Genomic DNA, 22,106 nt, shown 5'->3' with positions numbered 1-22,106 from the left:
GATGCAGAGGGCAGCAAGGGATGCCTGTTAGATGTTCTCTCAAGGCAGACACTGGGTGAGCTGTGGGGTTTAAATGCTGGCCCTGAACATCCTTCAAGCTAAATAATAATCCCGACCAGGAAGGCACTATCTTTCACAGCCAGGCCATATTTTTCTTAGGAATTAAAGGTAGAAAAAATCCCCGCCACTTTCCATCTACAGCAACTTCAAAATAAATCCTTCCTCATGGCATGTATTCCAGTACTAATTTCATCTATGGTTTCATCTGCTTTTCTTAATCTTCTTTTCCCTTCACTGAATTTCCCTACATAAAAATCTCAACCCTGTTGCCCTGTTGCGTGTTTTGGTTAGAACTTAAAATCCCTTTGAGGAACAAAGCTGGGCAGTACATACATTACTCAATTATGACATAGGAACCTGCAATCATTCCTAATCATCTAATGATTACTTGATTGTCTGTTCTATTATCCTTCAGGCTGTGAGTTCAATGAGAAGGAATGAACAAACAGATGAACAGATGAATGAATGAGCAACAAGCCAACAGGGTTTCTGTTCAGTTAGCCTCGGAGCACACAGCTCTTCATGTGGCGGAGACACAAAGAGTCCTTCGGTCGCCTGTAAAGCTTCTACTAGACAATTGTCTCTTCTCAGAAACTACAGGAAATGGTATTCTGATCTCCAGGATAGCTCATGCACAGGCAAAGCTAATTTCTCATCTAAGTTATACACAATGTAAAAGGTCAGTGACAAAAAGGGTTCCATTGTTAAATCTATTTCCCAAGTGAGATTTGACCTAAATAGTGCATAACATTTTAAGAATCCAAGTAAGAATACTTTTTCTTTTGAGACAGGGTCTCGCTCTGCCCCTCGGGCTGGAGTGCAGTGGCATGATCATAGCTCACTGCAGCCTGACCTCCTGGGCTTAAGTGATCCTTTCACCTCAGCCTTCCAAGTAGCTGGGACCACAGGTACGTGCCACCATGGCCAGCTGACTTTTAAATTTTGTAGAGTCGGGGTTTCACTATGTTGTCCAGACTGGTCTCAAACTCCTGGGCTCAAGTGATCCTCCCACCTTGACCTCCCAAAGTGCTGAAATTACTGACGTGAGCCATGGAGCCCAGCTGTAAAAACAAATTTTTATTTTTTCTTGAGTCTTAAAATATACGTTACCTCCATACTGTCTCTGAATATCCTGCAGACACATTTACTCAAAAGTCACAAAACAGAAGCTAGGAATATACACACTCCTTCCTAGACAAGTGTTCATATAAGATGAATGTATTCATCATATCTTACTAATACTATTACAATCTTTGTAGGGAATCAACACCAGGAAACCTAGACGTATACAGGGAGTACCTTGGCCATATAACCACTCTCTTAGCCCTACTGTTTTACTTACCTGCATTTTTAATTTCAGCATTTCCTGGATTTGAACGTGATTTCACAAATGACTTTAGGTGGGGGCTACAGAACAATCTTCACAATCTCTTCCGGGATATCTATCCTCTATTCTCCCAGGAGAACGACAACACTGAAGCTTATGCCACGGTGTCCACAGGGTAACCTGGTGAGGATTCCCTGCTCCAACCTCACTCCGCTGAGTAACAGGAACGGGCCCTGGACCACCTCGGCTGGGGATGGGTGTGGCCATCCTGAGGGCACTCACCAGGGTGACGATGGCACATTCAGCCGTCAGCTGAGCAGCACTGAACAGTGTCCGAACGAACCGGTAAATCTGCTTCTGCTCTGGGTTGTGTTTGTCATAATCTGGTGGCACTTCGGATTTCTGGGGAAGAAAATATTTTCAGATGACTGATCTCCCGATTGGAGCAAAAGAGAAATAATTAAATCATCTCATGAAACACACGGAGGAGATTACCGAAAGAGGGTGAAGATTTTCATCAAAAATATCTAAGAGCATCCTTCCATCTGGGTCCCTGGTAGGGAAAATAATAGAAAATGAAACTTACTTTCTGCAAGAATGTCATTCAAATAAAACAAAAATACATTTTAATTCAATGACTTTTTTTTTTTTTTTGGGATACGGAGTCTCACTCTGTTGCCCAGGCTGGAGTGCAGTGGCGCCATCTCAGCTCACTGCAACCTCCACCTCCTGGGTTCAAGTGATTCTCCTGCTTCAGCCTTCCAATTAGCTGGGATTACAGGCACACAACACCACACCCGGCTAATTTTTTTTTTTTGTATTTTTAGTAGAGACAAGGTTTCACCATGTTAGCCAGGCTGGTCTCGAACTCCTGACCTCAGGAGATCCACCTGCTTTGTCCTCCCAAAGTTCTGGGATTACAGGTGTGAGCCACTGCACCCAGCCAATTCAACTATTTCAAGAAACACAAGTCAGTGCTAAATGGTTATTCATGAATAATGATTTTTCTTGGGTGCAATACTTAATCACTTATGATTAAAATAGCCCAAGGAAATAAAGGTTATAAACCACACTTAGCTAAATTAAGTAAAAATTTAATTTTAATTTTTTGAGTTTTCAAATGAATCGAATCTAGGCAAATGACTTAAATTTGACATCTTATTTCCAAGCAAAGGTTGTTGGATCTGCTTAAGCCATCAACATACTGTGGGTGATAGGAAAGAAGCGCCAGGGTAAGAATGAATATCAATGTATCCTAGAGATCAGTCTGATTATTCACAACACGCAACGTCACTACTTCATTTAAGTTTCACAATTTTATACTGAAAAACAACAGGTGACAGATAAAAAGTCTTTAGTCAATAACCTATATGTGAACAGTTAGCTCTTACCAGGCTGGTACGTGCACAGAACCACTTAAAGAGGTAGCTTTCACTGTGAACACAGTACCGTGGGCCGCTGGGCTCTGCGGGGACCCTCCGTACCTCACGAGTGACAGCTCTACTTTCATCTGTTATATGAAATTTAAGTTTTGCCTAAAAAATTTTCTTTAAACAACCAAACTTGGAAATGACAGCTTTTGGCTAGCTGCATGTAATTTCCATAGTCTGTGCTTCAGTGTCAGGCTTCAGAACTTCAGAAGGCTACAGACCTGTCCCTAACACACACTTATCATGACAAACATTACAATTTCTGCTTTAGAAATTTACCATCTGTGTAAAAATAAAAGAGAAAGAGCTTAACAAAACAGCTCAATTTTCATTCCTACATTTGCACAACAGCAATTATTATTATTATTTTTTGAGACGGAGTCTTGCTCTGTCACCAGGCTGGAGTGCACTGGTGCAATCTCGGCTCACTGCAACCTCCACCTCCCGGGTTCAAGCGATTCTCCTGCCTCAGCCTCCTTGTAGAGGCTGCCTCAATATCCCTTGTAGCTGGGATTATAAGCACGCGCCACCAGGCCCAGCTGATTTTTGTATTTTTAGTAGAGACGGAGTTTCAGCATGTTGGCCAGGATGGTCTCAATCTCCAGACCTCGTGATCCGCCTGCCTCGGCCTCCCAAAGTGCTAGGATTACAGGCGTAAGCCACTGCGCTCAGCCACAGCAATTATTTTTAAAGCTCTGGGCATTCACACCTGTGCTCATTTACATTTGCCTGCATGAACACAGGCAGCACAGACACAGATCAACCCAAGCGAAAGAAAGGTTCAACCCAGCAGGTAGTCTGTGAGCAAAAAGCAGCTTCTGGGTGCACGTGGTTACACTCTGATACCAACCTGGGCTACAAAGAATCAGCGGATTCCCTCACCTTATTTACTGAGTTTTCAAATAAACCAAATCTTGAATCTCTATGAGGCATTCAAGATGCTACAGGAGAGACAGAACCTGGCCCAGGACCCCATTCCTCAGCAGTTGAGCCCCATTCAATTTTCCTGGAGAATGAGAGCCCCTGAAAGCATCCAGCACCCTAGAGAAACATTCGCCTGAAGTAATTTTTAAAATGAGAACAGAGTCTAAAAATATAAATGAGAATTAAGAGCTCGAGCTAAGACGACTCAGGAAAGGGGATTCTGGAGAATCCTCTGAGAAGTAGACTGTTTCCTTACTTCCTCTAAAAGCTGTGTGTCCCAACTGAACAGCACCACACCACCTTTATCAAGCTAACAGGTCTATCACCAGCACCAAAGGCCAGCCTAGTATGAGAGCGAAGAGAAGGCATGCAGACGGGCATCCCTCCTCATACCTAGAGACATGCAGGTGGCAATCTGTACATTAATCTTGCTTGTTTACAAATGCTCAATTTTTCAGCTGGACTTTCTCTACTTCCACTCACTTACTTTTGGTGCAATTTATCATCATTAATCTAGGAGAGCAATAGATTAATGGTCTGAGTGGTAGATTGAATTCATTTCCCAATTCCCCAATTTACTAGTTGTATCATCTTAGTCAAATTAATCTCTCTGTGCCTCAATTTCTTTATCTGTAAAATGAAGATACCAGTATCACCTTAAGGAGTTGTTATTAAAGCATGTAAAGAACTGACCAGAGCAGTCAGAGTAGGTGCTTCACAAAGCCAACTCATTATTATCAGCTCTGGCTACATTCACTTCAGGATCCATCATAGTCTAAGTAAGTACTGAGAAATATCTTAGAGATTCTAATGCAAAATTGTCTTGAAAGCACAACTGAGCTTCATCAATGGGATTACACTGTTTCTTAAGCCTTACAAGTTTAAAAGGTTTGAACTAGTATAGAAATAGGCAACAAGATAAAATCTACACTTTCACTGATACATTACTCTAATTCAAGATTTAGAGTTCCAAAGTTGCACTGTTTTGTAAGTTCTTAAATCCAAAATTCTCAAGCACCATAAAGAACCATGAATCACAATTACAGTATGGAAATAGGTGATCATAGAGAATCCCTTTCTAGGTGTCTGCTTCTGGATATTCGTGTTTTCTCCAATACTGTTCATTAGAAGCTGTCATCCAACCTCCCCTGCACTGACTAACCACGCTTTGTAAACCGACAACGTGTGGGGCTCCCACGGGCTGAGCTCTGCACTTAGCATGTGGTGGCTCTGCTTGTTCCCAAACTAGTTCACACCAGCTGTGCTTAGCAGACTCGTGTAACATACATGAATGTCACATTATGCATGAAATATGATTACCATGAGAGTGGCTATGTCCTCATGAAAACGAAGGAGGACGCTTTGGAAAGATCCGATAAAAGGAAATCACTAAAAATAAATTTGCTGTAGATTAGGTGTGGTCAAAACTGGAAAAATTTTATACTCATCTGTTATGTAAATGTCTTCAAGCTTTCTCACTACTGACAAAAAAAAAAAAAAAACTTGGAAAGGATGCATTAATGATAGCTGTGGCTTATGAAAGAAATACATTTTGGTTCTCCAATCAATGTCCTGTGCTTGAAGCAAATGTCTTGAAGTTGCATTTTTAAAAACTGGCAAATGAATGTATTCTTACATGTTTTATGTTGAAATAAAATGTATAAGGTAGAGTTTTTTTTCACTCCCTGTTTTAACTGACTTTTAAAATTAACCAACTATTGCCAGATACACTTACATCAGAGAGGGCTTCTATATTAAAATAGTTCATGCCTAAATTTACACCAAAATTGCCTCTACTGAATTCAAACTATAAATTAAACATTTTTTCCTGTTAAAGTTGCACCCAGTGAACTTTTAAAGTGACATTTTACAAAAGACAGAATGTTTCAACAAATTTTTCAGAAAATAAAGAAGAAAAAGGAAGCCAAACATCGTTGAGAAGCTTTGTCTGTTTTGCTGGTTTCAACCACGCTCATTTGGTTTCCACTGATTCTAAAGCAGTTCAGCACTTACCTGGGAAGTTTTAGTAAATTATATTACCTTTAGAAATTCTATGAAAATATGAGTTAAGAAAGTATAATTCAAAGGTTTAAGCAACTAGAATATGAAAAAATAGGAACAACATAACAGAAGATAACGTATGATGTTTTTAGCACACAACCATCCACATACCTGTTTTTGATGTGATAATATATTGCAAGAGCGACACTGTAAAAATAGAATGCAGAGGTTCAGTGTCCATGAGCATATTCAAGACCTTACACATTACCTGGCCACAGTCTGAACATAAATATTTAAACAGAAGTAAAAGTCTAACAATCTTTCTGAACAGTCCCATCTCATTCACAATGCTCATTAGGAAAATGTCCTCTTCTGAGTAAATCAATGTGGCACTAATTCCCAGGAATTATTACATCTCTTCTAGAAACAAAAGAACTTCAAGTGATATTTAGAAACAAACTGCTCTTTCTATTCAGAAATTTTCAGCTTTCCTCACTTGTGGGAAAAAAAAAAGCGCTATGTAAAAAATAGGTGGTATAAAGAAAACACCTTTAGAAATCTCCAACTCATAACCTACTAGTTTAAAAAATTCATGGTTTATTTATAAATACCAGAAAAATGTGAATATCACCCAAGAAGTCTGCTATTTTTCCCTTAATAACCTCTTGGCAATCCGCTCAAGTTATTCATTCACTTGCTGAAATGGTACTGTAACTTTTATTTGTAGCACTACCTTAACATTTTATTTTACATTTTAAAAGGTCTGAATTTAATGAACAATTACATTCCCTTCCCTGAACTTTTTCTTTTCTAAAACAATTTTTTTCTGACTAGAAAACATATTCATTGTAGAAATTTTGGAGAACATATTTAGAAAATGTAAGAAAAATATTCCGCCCAAATAAAACTATTAGCTTAAGATATATAGCTTTCTATAAATTATGTGTGTAAGGAGTCAGGTTTCCATCCTACTTTTAACTTTTTTCATGTTAACTTTTTTTTATCATTAAAAACATGATTTTAAATGGCTGATTATATTCCTTCATATGATTGTCGAATAATTTACTTAACTATTCCCCTACTAATGAACATTTAGGTTGTTTCTAATACTTTGCAATTATAATTAATACCATAATGAACATCCCAATATTTGTGCCATCTACAACTATATTATTTCCACAAGGATACATCCTATAATTGGAATCACTTGACCTCAAGTCATTAACAATGGTGAGGCTCTCAACACATATTGCCAAACATCTTTGCGGAAAGTCTACACCAGTGGACTTCCCACCAGCATCTGTTTCAACTCACACTCACTGACACTGACCCGAATGTTTTGACCAAGTGGTCTCCAACTGGACAGGTAAAAAAACAAGCAAACAAAAAAGTTTTCCTTTTTCTATCTGAGTTTCTTTAAACTCCTATCAGGTTGGCAGGGTTATTCATGTTCTGGACAATTTTTTAAAATTTCCTCTTTCAAAAACTGTCTAGATACTTCCACTATTTGTGTTTTACATTAAAATGTATTGAGGAGGCCAAAAAAATTATTTTTAAGCCTCTAAGAACATAGGTAACTGGCTGCAACAGACGGTGTTCTGATCCTCTCAGGGTACCGACTCGGCCCGAACATTTCCGCTTACTCAGCCACACCGGCTTAGAGACATGAGCACGCACCTTGGATTCCAAAGCACTCAGATGTTTTCCTGTGACTTAACATGACAGTAGCTAATCTCACTCTCTTATATTCTTCCAAACCTCTCTCTTTCCAGAGCTCTTCATTCAAATGACTTCAGCCTAGTTGAAAGTACTCATGAGCAAATAAGTGCTAATACATCCTTTTTCTCCTAACATCTTGAAAAGCATTGAAGCTGATGAAGAAATTGTAACTGGGGTATAAAAGAGCTTCAGAATTTATAAAAAATAGTAAGGTTTTCAAAGTGTTTTCACGTATGTTAACAGTCCTGCAAGAAAAAATAGATGTTATTGATTCTATTTTATAAATGGGAAAAACTCAGGTTCAGACGGTAGCTGCCAGGATTTCTGGCTTGTATAAGGCTGTGTGCCCTTCTGTTTTGACCATGTAGCCTCTGGGAAAGGGAGGAATTAGTTTCATTCGTTTACTAGTCATGCTGTGATGACTGTTCTTCTAATCTAATGTTACATTTCAAAGGAATATTTCATGTGATTAGTTTAATGTCTTTGAGAAAGAAGATGTTCCTGCTTCCCCTGTGAGGGAGCATACAGCAGTAGAAATATCACTAGACTGAAGTCACATCAGCCTGGGTTCTGAACCTGGCTCCTTCCTCCTTATTAGTGCTAATTCACCTCTCAGAGCTTTCATTTCCTCATTTATAAAATTAGAACAATACAACCCACATCATGGAGTTGTAATTATGATCAAATAAAAAAAGTATATAAAAGCATGATCTTATATTAACTTTTAAAAGAAAAGTTACTATTATTGATATTCCCCTAGTAAGAGGTCCTCTGGCTTCTGCCGAATGGGCGAGAATCTTCAGGGCCCCAAGATCACTATCTCCCAAGCTAAAGCCAAGATTGGATATTATCACGGCTTAAGACCTCCAGGAAAAGTAGAGCCACTCTGTAGGCCAATTTCCACTCAAGGTTATATCCCAGAAGTGAGACCACCAGGATGAGGGTTCAGGCACAGTACAGCTCCATGGACTAGTTTAGCAGTCGTCTTGAAGGAAGTGACTGCCCAAAGAGGCCATCAGCTGACAACTGAATCAGGCCCAGGCTTGTAGCTTCACTCTACACACAGTCTCTTTTGTCAAACCTGAGGCTGGAATCACCCCAAAAACGCATCTCTGCCCCACTGCGCCCCCTTTTAATTAGGCAGTAAGATGGCCTGAGACAGTGGGCCAAGTGGAAATGAAGGTCCTTTCATATCTTTGTGGCTCTACAAAGGTCTGCAATATTTCAACTGCTTGCAGCTGTGTCTTTTGTCAAATACGGCTGTTGGAAAAACCAGCTTCACCCGACTAGACCATGTTCAGGACTTTTATGGTGTCCCCTGGTTCCTGGACTTTCTGTTGGTTGACAACCTATCCTCTGGGAATTGTAGGTGTTTTAGAACCTTTTGGGTAGCCTTTTTTAAAAGACTCAAACCTGTGTAAGTCAGTGACATATTATCTATACAATGTTTTAGGCGACCTGCAAGGCATTCACCCGAACAGCCAGGTCTCTGGCCATCAAGCCAAGGCAGTAGTGGGGTTTTGTGAGCACCCCTGGAGGAAAACCTGAAGGGTCCACTGGGGGCCTCACCGGTGAAGGCAAACATGTCCTGGGACTCTGGGTCTAAGGGTATGTTCAAGAAAGTTTTGTTATAGGACAATCTTTCATATTCCTAAACAAGCAGTTAGTCTTTTGGGGCTAACATTTGGGACCGCAGCATGTGTGGCCAGAGTCACCTTAGTTTTTGGTAATCAACCATCATCCTTCGGGTGCTGTTACATTTTTGCATCGGCCACACAGAGCTGTTGTATGGGTTCTGTGTAGGATGCACAATCCTCACCCTCTTTAGTTTTGGAGTAGCTGCTGTTACCTTTCTGAGTCTTCCTGGGAGACGTGTATCTATACAATCTATCTTGGGTGGGGTCACATACTGACTCTCATTTGGCCTCCCCCTGGAGTGTGGCTCTTATTGCCCTTGCCCAGAGATGGAATTTGTCTGCGTTCCTCTAAAGGCAGCTCCCAGGAGAATGTTTCTCCCCAAACTGTGTTTTGAGACTGATATGTAGACCCACAGTGGGGTAAGAGGAGCATGTCTAATTTGTAACAGGAGGCGTGCTCATCTCGCAAAGGCAGGTGGATGGATCTCTGGATCCACATTTATAAGTCAGGGGCCCAGAAACTGTGAGGATCAGCAGGCATGGAGTACGCTCAGCCCTGGAGCCACCAGAGTCAAAACTCTTTGTTTAGAGGGAACCAATGAATGGCACCACATTGAAGAAAACTTTGCTTTCTTGTCAGTGTAGAGGTGGCGGTGCTCACCACCTTCTGTCCTTGGGTTTTTTTCTAGAGGCAGTGCCCAGGGTTTAGGATTAACCCTAGTGGTAAACTGGCGCTCTGGCTTTAGGGACTTTTAAAAGTCTAAGGAGAATTGTACTGGGCTGTCTATTTTGTTTTTGGACCTGTCTTTAGAAGGTCTTGTCAAATTTGGCTCCTTGACACCCGTTTTGTTGGATCTCCCTTTTTTTCTGGTCTCTTTTCAGGTTCCCTTGTTTTTGCAGCACTCCTCAGCTTAGCTGTGCCGGTCATTGTTTTTACTTCCCCTATTTCAGCCACGAAGCCCCATCCAAGGGACCTAAGATGGGAAACAGTGTCCTTCCATCCAGGTGGAGCAGTCTTGAGGGGCTTACCGTGCATGCTGGCAGTGAACGGGGTGCCATCCGGCCCCTGGAAAGCAGGGGCATAGATAGCCACCCTCACTGTCAATCTGTGCAACAAAGCCTGTGCCTTGTTTATAGGCTTCTATGGTGAAGGACCCCAAGGCATATCCCCTTCGCAGGGCCAGAACGATCCAGTCTCTCAGAGAACAGCCCAGGAGCCATGTAGGTGCTGTCCGACGGAGGAGTGCTGTGACACTGCTAATTTTTTCTGCCTCACCTCCAGACAGAACCAGTGTCTACCCTACCAGACAAGTGCCTAAGGCCTCCTTTAGTTTCTGCCCAGAGTGGCTAACCAGATCAATTAACCCTGGCGAGCCACAGAGTTAACCGGCTCTTACCACCCTTATCAAATCCAAGTTTACCAGGCCAAAGAGCGGTCAAGGCACTCTGATTATCGGTTAGGACACAGAAAGAACTCAGGGGACCTGGGGGACCCGGAGTGCCCAACTTCAGAGGCTTGGTCAGCTCTGCCAAGACCTCAGAAAATGGTGCAGTTTCACCAAGGAAGGGCCAGAGCCCTATCAGGGAACAAAACATTTGGACTATAGGGTTTGCTCAGCAGCTTTTGCCACATAGCTGGGGAGGAAGTAAATGCTATTTTCTTGCACAAGAAAACAAAATGGATTTGTGACTTTTGGCACTTCATTTGTCTTCTTACCCAGAGCTAAATTAGCAATGTATATGACAATCCTAAAACCTTTGAAGGGCAAGAGGGGGTGAGTTCTAGCAGCACAGTGGGGCTGAGCCATAGACAGGGCTGTGACGGGCATTAGCTGTTCCCTGGCCCTGGAGGCCAAGGACCCTGATGGTATGGCCAAGTGCGCAAAGGGGCTCCCCACCACCCTCCGCTCTTTTCTTTGATCATCATCTTATGCTTGTCAGAGGACTTGGTGGGGAGGGGTTGGCTGCAGAGGCACAAAGTGTGGCTGACAAACTCTAAATTCATACCACAGCTGTTGGCATTTAGGGGAAAAATAGGAAAATCAAGTTCTCAAAATAAAAAATTATGTCTACAGAAAGAGTGAGCACTGAATGAGTACCCAACTTTTTTATAGCTTTTCTTTCACTGTTAGATTAGCATTCAACCCTCCACCCATCCCCAGCTAGAATTTGCAAATACGTTTATTTCTGGCAATCCCCACTTTACAGGTGGATTATTTTCCAAAAATCAGCTTATAAATCGCTGTTTAGAACCTAGGGCATTCTTCTCACAGTTACAACCTTGTAACTGGATTTCAGATAGCAACTCTGGCCCATAAATGCTCACTTATGCCCACCATGAAGCTGAACTACAATATTAATGATTGTGTTATCAGTTTTAATGTCTGGAGTAGGGTGCAAGAGGACCTGGGTTAACGGGAGGCAAAGAAAGCAAAAAAGAAAATAGGAGTTTTCTTTGGACAGGAGTAGGGCAAGATGTAGGCAAAATTTTAGAATGGGATGGCATGTGGATTTCACAACTTCCTATCTTTTTCACTACTCTTCCTTCTGAGTATCCCTTTCCTCTCATATTGTCAACCCTCTAGCTGAAGAACTCAACTGGACCTGCTAATGTCTCTAAATGTTTTTGACTCTTTAGCTACACCAAGTGTGAGATGCTGGTATTTCCAGGGAAGGATTCTGATGGCTCTACTTCAGTTGGTCCCACCCTGCCCAGCTCCCAGTGTGCATTTTAAAAAGAGGATACTTTTGGCTGGGCACTGTGGCTGACGCCTATAATCTCAGCACTTTGGGAGGCCAAGGTGGGTAGATTGCTTGAGCCCAGCCTACGCAACAAGGTGAAACAAATGTCTCTACAAAAAATGCAAAAATTAGCTGGCCATGGTAGTGTGTACCTGTAATCCCAGCTACTCGGAAGGCTAAGGCGGGAGGATCTCTTGAGCCTGGGAGGCGGAGTTACAGTGAGCTGAGATCATGCCACTGCACTCCAGCCTGGGGACAGAGATCCTGTCTCAAAAAAAAAAAAAAAAAAAAAAAAAGAAAAGAAAAGAAAAAGAAGATACTTTTTAAAGCAACTGAATTACAGACTGAAGAAGTTTCAGATGTGTGCAGTGCAGAGACCATGTCTTCGGATCAGGGAAGCCCAGAATCTACACTGAAGTCTCATAGCTTGTTCCTACTCTTCAGCTTCTCTGTTCTCTACATTCTAACCCGCAGTTCATTTAAAAGTGGCAGGGGGACATTGGTGGGGGAGGGGAGGGTAGCTGTCCACTTCCATCTGGGGTCTTCAACTTTGGCTGCCTGTGAGACTCTCCTGGGGAGGTTTAAAAATCCAGATACTCACAGTATGCCTCAGCCAGATTCAATCAAGATCTGTTAAAAATCCAGACACCCAGAGAATGCCTCAGCCAGATTCAATCAAGATCTGTTAAAAATCCAGATACCCACAGTATACCTCAGCCAGATTCAATCAAGATCTGTTAAAAATCCAGATACCCAGAGAATGCCTCAGCCAGATTCAATCAAGATCTGTTAAAAATCCAGATACTCACAGTATACCTCAGCCAGATTCAATCAAGAGCTGTTACAAATCCAAATACCCACAGTATGCCTCAGCCAGATTCAATCAAGATCTGTTAAAAATCCAGATACTCACAGTATACCTCAGCCAAATTCAATCAAGATCTGTTAAAAATCCAGATACTCACAGCATACCTCAGCCAGATTCAATCAAGATCTGTTAAAAATCCAGATACTCACAATATACCTCAGCCAGATTCAATCAAGAGCTGTTACAAATCCAAATACCCACAGTATGCCTCAGCCAGATTCAATCAAGATCTGTTAAAAATCCAGATACCCACAGTATACCTCAGCCAGATTCAATCAAGATCTGTTAAAAATCCAGATACCCAGAGAATGCCTCAGCCAGATTCAATCAAGATCTGTTAAAAATCCAGATACTCACAGCATACCTCAGCCAGATTCAATCAAGATCTGTTAAAAATCCAGATACTCACAATTTACCTCAGCCAGATTCAATCAAGAGCTGTTACAAATCCAAATACCCACAGTATGCCTCAGCCAGATTCAATCAAGAGCTGTTAAAAATCCAGATACCCACAGTATACCTCAGCCAGATTCAATCAAGATCTGTTAAAAATCCAGATACCCAGAGAATGCCTCAGCCAGATTCAATCAAGATCTGTTAAAAATCCAGATACTCACAGCATACCTCAGCCAGATTCAATCAAGATCTGTTAAAAATCCAGATACTCACAATTTACCTCAGCCAGATTCAATCAAGAGCTGTTACACATCCAAATAACCACAGTATGCCTCAGCCAGATTCAATCAAGAGCTGTTAAAAATCCAGATACCCACAGTATACCTCAGCCAGATTCAATCAAAGTCTGTTAAAAGTCCAGATACCCACAGTATGCCTCAGCCAGATTCAATCAAGATCTGTAAGGAGACCTCAATCATCAGTGTGTTTTTAAGCTCCCAGGTGACTCCTAGGTGCAGCCAGGGCCAGAAACAGTGATTTACACAGACAACATATTTCTAACTTAGGTGTTTGTGCCTCCTAGAGTTGACCGATGAACTATCAAATTGTCACACAGTTCTCTCACTAGGCTCCTAAGTGTCTGTGTCACAGCCAGTGGCAATTTTAAGTGGTCCAAGGATGAAAGTGTTGAGCAACTAAGACAGAGCCACCTGTGAATCCCAAGAGCTCCCGCTGCCCCAGGATGGGAAACTGTGCTACTCTGCCCTGGCTTCCAATGAGAGGAGTCCAGGATTAAAGGGAAGTTAGCAGCTTCTGTTCTGGGCTCCTCAGAGATTGAGCAGAAGCCAACAGTCATGTGGTACACAGATCTTCAGGGCTTTCCACTTCTCTCCGCGAGTCCTAATAACCTAATCTGGAAAATACTTCCAAAGGTACTGCACACCCCATTTCCCCTCAGTAAACCACAGCCCAAGGGTAAACGTGGCTCAGGCAAGGGCATGCGTGGTGGAGCTAAGACAGAGCTCTGTGAGTGCTGCCAGTGTGAGTTTATGCCCACTAGTCACTTCCCGTGCACTCCGGTGCTGAGGAAGTAAGGAAGAGGCTGCATTGCCACTTAGATCCTGGAAGCACGGAACCTGACAAGCGCAGTGCCAACAGGCAGCCTCTACCCAAGCGGCCTTGTCCTCCACCTTCTGCCTAGAGCAGACACTGACTACAGATGGCTATAGTCCTCACTGCCTGACTCATCATCACATGTGGTCATACTCAGAACAGGGCTTCTAGGCCTGAAAACCTGGCCCACTGAAATGGACGAATACTCCTTATTTAAAATTTAAACACTTATTTCATATGCTGACATGTATTGTGAAATGTGTGCTTTCTGAAACAAGTATAGAGATAAAATTCAGATTTTTTAAAACTGAGCTGCTGACCACAGGCCCAAGCACATCAGGTTCTCTATAGTACTTGCCAAGGGTCATTATTACCATAATGCTAGTGGTACAATAAAGGAAAAACCAGTGTTCCCTCCCTCTTTAAAGTACGGAAACTGAAGCACCGTAAGGGAAAGAAGTTTATCCCAAGACTCCCCCTTCCTTCCTCCCTTATAAACTCCATTTAAAAATATGGAATTAAAGGCCCCACAGAAAGGATCCCACCCACGTTCTCTTTGTTGGTGAGAGAGCCATGGTCAGAACTCAGATCTCCAGACCCCAGGCAAGTGTACCTTCACTAGGCCAGGCAGGCTTTCTACTGGAGCCCCGGGTCTCCAACTGGGAACATAGGAGTCTCATTTTATTTAGAAGGTAAAAAGTTAGTGGAGTTATGCCAGGATGGCTTCAATAAAAAGTGCAAGGGTAGAAAGCATGAACAAAAATAAAAAATATATTTTAAGTAATCTACATTTAAAATACTTTAAGATTCTGGTCTTTTAATGTAAATAGTACTATGTAAAAATATTTCAATACCCCACACTTAACTACCAAAATCATTTTTTAAAAAGATTTCCTGAATTATCAGTGCTACCCCTACTCCCACCCATCCAATCTTATCACTCCCAGACCCCACAACCAACCAGCTTAGCTGTCAGGTTAAGGAACAGAAAAAGCATTCAGTTAAGTAAAAAAAAAAAAAAAAAAAAAAAAAAAGGAAGGAAGGAAGGAAGGAAATAAATCCATATACCCACCATTTAATTGTATACTTGAGGTTTGGTTGACTGACTGTGCTATCATCTAGGAAAATGGTGGAGCAGGAACTGTATTTCCTTGCTATTTGTCCTGGAGGATGCTAGAAAACAACAGCAAGAAGATTAAGGCAATTACACAGGGCTCAGAATTCTTCCAAGAAACATCACCCCCGCTTAACTTGAGATAAGACCACAGAGGAAAAATGTCTTAGCAAGAAATGTCAACATTACCACCAAGAACAGTACAAAAACACTTTATTCATAAAATGAACTTCCTTGCTCTTCCATATATAAAAGTCACCAGGACCACACCTAGTCCCTAACTTCCTGCATCAGGAGAACAGTAAACTCTTGCAATCAAGCATCAAAAAGCATGTTTCAGAGTCCACAAAAATCACCTGCCCCATGGCTTGTATGAAACATGGGATCTACTAAACTAACAAAAGCCTGCAATTTAGATGGTGGCCTGGTTTTACGCACTAAGATCAAGACAAGTGTCCACTGTACCCACTTTCCTTACTCTTGAAATACAGTTGATTTAGGGGCCATGGAAAATGCAGCCAATGTTAATTTAGAATCTCCTGGTTAATCTGCTTGAATTTCAGCAGGTAAAGTTATAATGAAAAAATATTGCTTTGTTAAGGACAAAGTAAGTTTTAAAGGGGAAGATTATCTGATACTTTTGAAAATACAACCAATGAATGACCTTTAGATAGTTCTTTGTGTGGTCTTATGACAGGTTCTTTCATAACTGTACAACTTTTGGGCTCTTTGGAGAACTTTAGAACAGAATTCCTTCTAGAAGGTACTGGTGAAGTAAATAGAATTTATAGCACACACTGATGACACCTAGTTGAACACTAAATAGATTTCTGGCAACAATCGGGCAATATGATTAGTACACATCAATCTGGATAGTTCCTGATCAAAAGCAAACTAGAAAAAAAGTTAAATTATGCAAACAAGTTTCCACGTGCCTGATGCTATGTTGAATGTCTAAGTGTCATTTTCAGCAACAAAAAAACTTAATAATCCCTTGGGGATCACAATGTCTTCTGCCTGACCTGCCCGCCTGCAACACACCCTGGGTGTACACAGTTCACAAATTTAGTAAAGGAAGCCTCAACGTTAGAGACCAAATGCCCTGTTCAATATCTTAAAATTTATTTCTCATTTAATAAGGTTTCCTCAGTAATAAAGTAAGGAAAATGTGAGGCAGTCTGAGAAATATATAAACAATGTTATAAACAGAATCTCTTCTCAAAACTAGATAACAAATGATACTAGTTACTTCTTTGGGGTTCCAATTTCTTAAATCACAGTTAGCACTGCGCTGCTGAAGCATCCTGACCCTCGGAGCCCTAGTCTCACATCAACAGCAAACAGGTTAGAAGGAAAGAACCACAACCAGGAAAATTCAGAAGCTGAGGCCTCTCCCCAGGGTTCTTTCCTTAGGCTTACACTCTCAAGTGCCTATGTGGGGACAGGGCATAGAGAACGCTTGTGAAATTCAAGTCTGAAGTCAAATGTCAGTTTTCACATGGCATTTAACATCTATCAAATGAATCACATTTCATTAAGAAAATCCAGACATTTAAACCAATTCTCTTCCTCTTTTTAAACTCTTGTAGAATCACATGTAAGTCACAGAAGACGCACTAAAGCCTCAGACTCTAATAACAGCTATTACCATAGGTGATAAACTAAAAATGCTTAAGGAATTTTTCCTACAGATGTAAAATCTACTACAAACAAAAAATCTATGTTTAACACAGATACCATATTTAACATTAAAAGTCAGTAATTAATTAAATTTTTTCTGGTGTTAATAAACTTTTAGAGATATGGGATAACTTTAGAAATCCCAACAATGAAGGAAAAGGACAATAATATTTCATTTGTGTTTCTTGTGGGTTTCAATTGTTTCCTCTGATGCAAACTCCTTCCAGATTAAAATGTAACAGGGCTTGCAAAGAATAAATGGTTTCCCTAAGAAAATATAAGCCACAAAGTCAGGGAAAGAAGAGTGATGCACGGGGTCATGGGAACCCTCAGAATACAGAGAATGTCCCATCATAATCTAGGAAGTAACCTTTGTGAGTTGACAGGGAGGGCACCACCCCTCTGTGTGCACCATCCCTAAGGTTCAGAGGGTTAACTCAAAGCCAGCCACACAAAGGGACCCTGCCCTGGCCTGAGGACTGCCCCACCTGCGGGTCTGAGCACCCCAGAACTAAGGGCTGATCTGCCAAAGCCCTCGATCCCAGGGGGATGCCAACCCAGCTTTTAAACTATTTAATAACTTCGAAACTGAATAAAGATCCCAAGTATTGAGTTATAAAGATTTTAGTTTCAGAGTATCTCAACACTCTAAAGACCATTTAGGCACTAAGTCATTTATTGACTGTCAGGACTACAAGACTCATAGAATGTGAACTTCTCTTGATCTGAACCCCACATCACTAAAAAGCCGAAATAGCTGTAATCCTTCTACTAGAAATGCTCTTGACCCCAGGGTTGTCTCTGTTTTTTTTTTTTTTTTTTTTTTGAACTGGTCCTCTCAGGGTGTGGTGGAGGAAAGTACAACACCTCCTGCTGTGTGGTACCATCCAACAACTGACTGATGCTCGGCCTCTGGAAGCAGCAGAGGTGTATCACTCACAGAACAGAGCATTCTAATTCGATAGTTTTCATAAGCACACGTGTGTCAGGTAGTTCTCAGTGTCACTCAAAATATTTTTGTTAATGTATTGCTCCATGATTCTGAAACACTGGTATGCTTGTACATGTGCGTGCACATGCACACACAGACCCTCCCACTTAGGTTCCCATCTTTGCTAGTAAATGACACAGCAAAGTGATGTGCTGGAGAAACAGCAGGGCATGACTCTTGGTAGTTAATCTGACTTGGACATAACTAGCTGCGTGGCCTGGGCAAGTTACCTGGCCTCCCTCTCTGCCCCTCAGTTTCCTCAGCTGTAAAACAGAGATGAAAATGACAGACCCTACCTCATGGGTCTATCAGAAGGAGTGCATGAATTAGTATTTGTAAAGCACCTTGAGCAGGGCGAGTGTGTGGGAAGCACCTGCAGGTAATCGTTAAGTAGAAACTGCGTTAAACAGGTCAAAAAAGCAACAGGGATGTTCTTTATGCCTAATGCCTGCAACATTTTGGAAAACCATAAAAGGAAATGTCTAAGGCAATGTTTTACTTGCAAAGGATGGGCATCACCCTATAAACAATTTAGAAAGATTGTCCCAAATACAGTAAGTGTCTTGGTGAGAGCGCAGATACTACAGAGTTAACCACGAACTGCTTAGAAGGGGAGCCTGATGAGTGAGAAGCCCAATTATGAATTATTCTAAAGAAATAAAATTTATATCTTTGAAATAATGTGAACCTTACAGATTAAGCTATGAATATGCAGAATAATCGAATTTTAGAGCTAGACTGAAGCAAGGTCATTTAGTCCATGTATTCACACAATGTCTATAGTACAAAATATGATTTACATCAAGGTCCATTAATATACAAAAATTGTTGAATGATATATTTAAGAAGATTTTATTGAAGAGTTATCATGTGTCCCAAATAATGAGATTATCCCCTTAGATAATTCCAATACTGATGTCTGTCAGATACAAAGATACATGGATACACACATGTACATGCACACACAAACATACGATCAAAGCGCAGGATGATGAGGAGGAGGAAGCAGGGATAAGACTTCCACTGGACCTTCCACAATGACCCCAAATCTTCCTCCCAACTATTTCAACTGCTCCCACCCGCGACACCTCCTCAAATCCTCCACCCATCACCATGCTGAGCTCCCCACAGGGAGTTTGAGTCACAGAACCCAGAGGCCACCAGACAGCGTCCCCTCAACCTTCTTGCCTCTTTCTTGGCAAATCGGTCATCCCTCCCCCTACCTGGAGTAGAAGCCCTAACTCTCTTCAGGCCAGAACTAATTAGTCCCTCGGCTTCTTCAAAATGTCTTTCTGAATTCGCTCAACCTCCACACTCCCTCCCCATTCACAAAAAACTCTAAGTCCGCTATGCAGATGGGTCCTCTGCAGTCCTCCTACCAATTTGATATTTGAACTGAAGCTTTTTTCTTTCTGGGGTTTCCTCCTTGCTTTCCCCCATCTTTCTGGCTACTCAGTCGCAGTCCCTTTGTGGACTCTGCTTCTCTGAATTTCCTCAAATGTAATGGTCTTTTCTTCTTCCTCTAAACACTTTCCCAGGGGACTCTCACCCACTCTCATTAATTCAACTTCCTTCTCCCCTCTGTTGGGTCCCAAATCTCTCCTTTCTGGCCCCAACTTCTCTTCTGAGCTCACTACTTGCCTGGTTGACCCCTCCATCTCAATGTTCCTCATGGGTACCTCAAATGCCAAACTAATTTGTTCCTCTAATCAACTGTAATGGCTTAAAACCAGAAATCCACAAAATATTCTTGAATTTTGTTTTCCTTTCTGTTGGTTTCCTTGTATCAAGTGCTATCGATTCTATTCCAAGTACATTTCCACATCATCCTTTCCCTTGCACCCCTCTAGCCACTATCTGGTATATGAAAGCCACGTGGACTCTCACCTGTATCACTACAGTAACCACCTTGCCTCGAGGCTCACTCCTCTCTAAACCATTCTTCTTCAAGTGCTACTGTCACCTTAATACAAAGCAAATCAGATCGTGTTGCCTCCCTGCCTAGATGGTTCTGACGTTCTCCACTGGGGAGAGACACACGAGTCAACTCTCCATCTCTCCAGGTTCACGGTTCACTTCCTCTTTCCCTGCACACCACACTTGGACATAATTCAAAGATGAAAGGAACAACGGCCACTTTTATTTAATGGCCATCAAAGATGAACCCACAGTGTTCTGGGTTACTTTACGTGTATTCACTTAGAGCTCACAAACATTCAGAGCCCTGCACTGCAGGGTAGAATTCCCATTTTACAGACAAGGAGATCAGAGAAATGAAGTAGCATTTCCAACACCAAATCTAAGACACCAGAGCTTAAAGCCATGTTTGTCTGACTACCAAGTCCGTGCCTCCCTCTCTGGGGTTCTGCAGCCCTTCCCTTGAGCTGTTCATTCCTAAACCTTCTTGTACAATACCCTACAGACCTTTTCCCCTCCCTGACTCCACTCATCCTTCAGCACTCTGCTGACAGTGCTTCCTCTAGATGCCTTCCTACCACCAGACCACCTGGGCTGGGTACCCCTCTGTGTGTTCTATGCCCGTGTTCACCCTCCACAGCACCAGTCACTCTCCATTGTCATTTCTGGCTCACTTTTCTATATGTCTCCGGGGTCTAGACTGCAGGTGTCTTGGAGGTACAGACTGGTATTTTCTTGAATCAGCAAATGAAGAACAGCTCCATCCCGGGACTAGAGTGCTCACTGCCCCCAACTGTGGGAAGTCGTCTGCCTCCATTATGGCACAGGATCCTCTGTGAGGGAGACCACAGTGTGGCCACAGCAGCTGTGTTACGGCAGAAAGGGGCATGCTGTGTGGCAATGAGCTGGCCGCAGGGGCCTGCACCATTGGGCAGTGAAATGCTGACACGTTCCGAACACATGAAGTGAGGCATGGCAGGCAGATCAAGGAGCCAAGTTCATGTGGACGAGACACTCCAGACAGGCAGGGCAGGAGCACAGTGGAGTCAGAAAGCCCAGTGCTTGGCTGCAGCTCTGCCACTGACGAGTTGTGTAAATGTGGGCAAGTTACTTACAGAGGACAATCACACATCCTGGCTTGATCAGGACAGCCGTAGTTTGTCCCTGTTGTCCTAGAATAACCAATAATAGTAACCCCTTTCGTAATTAATTAAAATGTATAAGCCTATCACCTTAGGCTTAGCCTCCCCAAGCTTCAATGTCTTCATCAATAAAATTCAGATACAGAACCTGTCCTTCATTGTGGTGCTGTGAAGAATAACACCTGTAAAGTGCCTAGCACGTACATGAACTGAATAAATATTAAGTCATTTAACACTTAAGAGTCTCTAGGCTTTAACTTCCCATTTTCAATGACTGTCTTACTACTTCTTAGAAAGGTTTGTTAGGATCAAAAAAAAGCATTAAATAATGTAAGGCCCAGGCATGGTAGCTCATGCCTATAATTCCAGCACTTTGGGAAGCCCAAGTGGGAGAATCAATTGAGCCCAGGAGTTCGAGACCAACCTGAGCCATACAGCAAGACCTCATCTCTACAAAAAATAGAAATAAATTAGCCAGGTGTGGTGATGCATGCCTGTGGTGCCAGCTACCCAGGAGGCTGAGGCAGGAAGATCGGTTGGGCCCAGGAAGTCAAGACTGCTGTGAGCCATGATTGTGCCACTACACTCCACCCTGAGTGACAGAGTGAAACCTTGTCTCACAAATAAATAAATAAATAAAATGAAGTATTATTATTAGAGGAAAAGAAGGAGTAAAAGTTTGTGAAAAGAAGTGATATAAATGAAATCTCTAAATATGAAAGCTCCACAATTTTTTTTAATCTTAAGGAGGGCAAACTATGACCTTGATAGAGGAGGCAGGTTTTGGTCTGCAGCCTCCTCGGGCCACAGAGAACTGGCCACTTGCACTGGCATTCCTTGACTAGGAATGAACGAAAGGCCTGCTGGAGTGCAGAAGTGGAGGGGAGGCTGGGTTGCAGGATCACACCTGCCACCTGCTGAACTCCCAGCTCACAGACAGTCTCCACGAAACCATAAAGGCCACTCATTTTGCAGAACTGTCTTTGCCTTATTCACACAGCTAATACAGGGTGGAGTGGAATTCAAGAACTTTGTGTGGGATTCT

At 42.1% G+C, this 22,106-nt stretch overlaps 1 protein-coding gene across 5 annotated transcripts in view, besides 3 other annotated features; it reads right to left on the bottom strand.

The window, feature by feature from the left end:
- Positions 1 to 22,106, bottom strand: part of CCNY (cyclin Y) — a 325,643-nt gene that overhangs the window by 40,755 nt on the left and 262,782 nt on the right. For 4 of the 5 annotated variants that reach the window (NM_181698.4, NM_001282853.2, NM_145012.6 and 1 more), the window contains 4 exons: positions 15,290 to 15,390; positions 5,914 to 5,949; positions 1,883 to 1,940; positions 1,670 to 1,789 (listed from right to left, as the gene is read on the bottom strand). In NM_181698.4, the coding sequence (NP_859049.2) occupies positions 1,670 to 1,789; positions 1,883 to 1,940; positions 5,914 to 5,949; positions 15,290 to 15,390 (315 nt within the window). The remainder of the gene's footprint in view (positions 1 to 1,669; positions 1,790 to 1,882; positions 1,941 to 5,913; positions 5,950 to 15,289; positions 15,391 to 22,106) is intronic. The other variant, NM_001282854.2, reaches the window with a different exon arrangement.
- Positions 238 to 1,437: an enhancer, noted in NCBI's record as "CDK7 strongly-dependent group 2 enhancer chr10:35819404-35820603 (GRCh37/hg19 assembly coordinates)". NCBI's record gives its function as "activates an origin of replication core promoter dependent on BRD2, BRD4, P300/CBP, MED14 and CDK7 cofactors, with strong dependence on CDK7, by STARR-seq in HCT116 cells {active_cell/tissue: HCT116}" and the evidence as "EXISTENCE:reporter gene assay evidence [ECO:0000049][PMID:35650434]".
- Positions 13,568 to 14,068: an enhancer, noted in NCBI's record as "H3K27ac hESC enhancer chr10:35806773-35807273 (GRCh37/hg19 assembly coordinates)". NCBI's record gives its function as "activates a minimal SCP1, AML or CMV promoter by ChIP-STARR-seq in naive H9 embryonic stem cells {active_cell/tissue: H9 hESC(naive)}" and the evidence as "EXISTENCE:reporter gene assay evidence [ECO:0000049][PMID:30033119]".
- Positions 14,069 to 14,569: an enhancer, noted in NCBI's record as "H3K27ac hESC enhancer chr10:35806272-35806772 (GRCh37/hg19 assembly coordinates)". NCBI's record gives its function as "activates a minimal SCP1, AML or CMV promoter by ChIP-STARR-seq in naive H9 embryonic stem cells {active_cell/tissue: H9 hESC(naive)}" and the evidence as "EXISTENCE:reporter gene assay evidence [ECO:0000049][PMID:30033119]".

Source organism: Homo sapiens, chromosome 10, assembly GCF_000001405.40.
Source record: "Homo sapiens chromosome 10, GRCh38.p14 Primary Assembly".
Taxonomy (NCBI): domain Eukaryota; kingdom Metazoa; phylum Chordata; class Mammalia; order Primates; family Hominidae; genus Homo; species Homo sapiens.
This window is presented reverse-complemented; position numbering and strand designations above follow the sequence as displayed.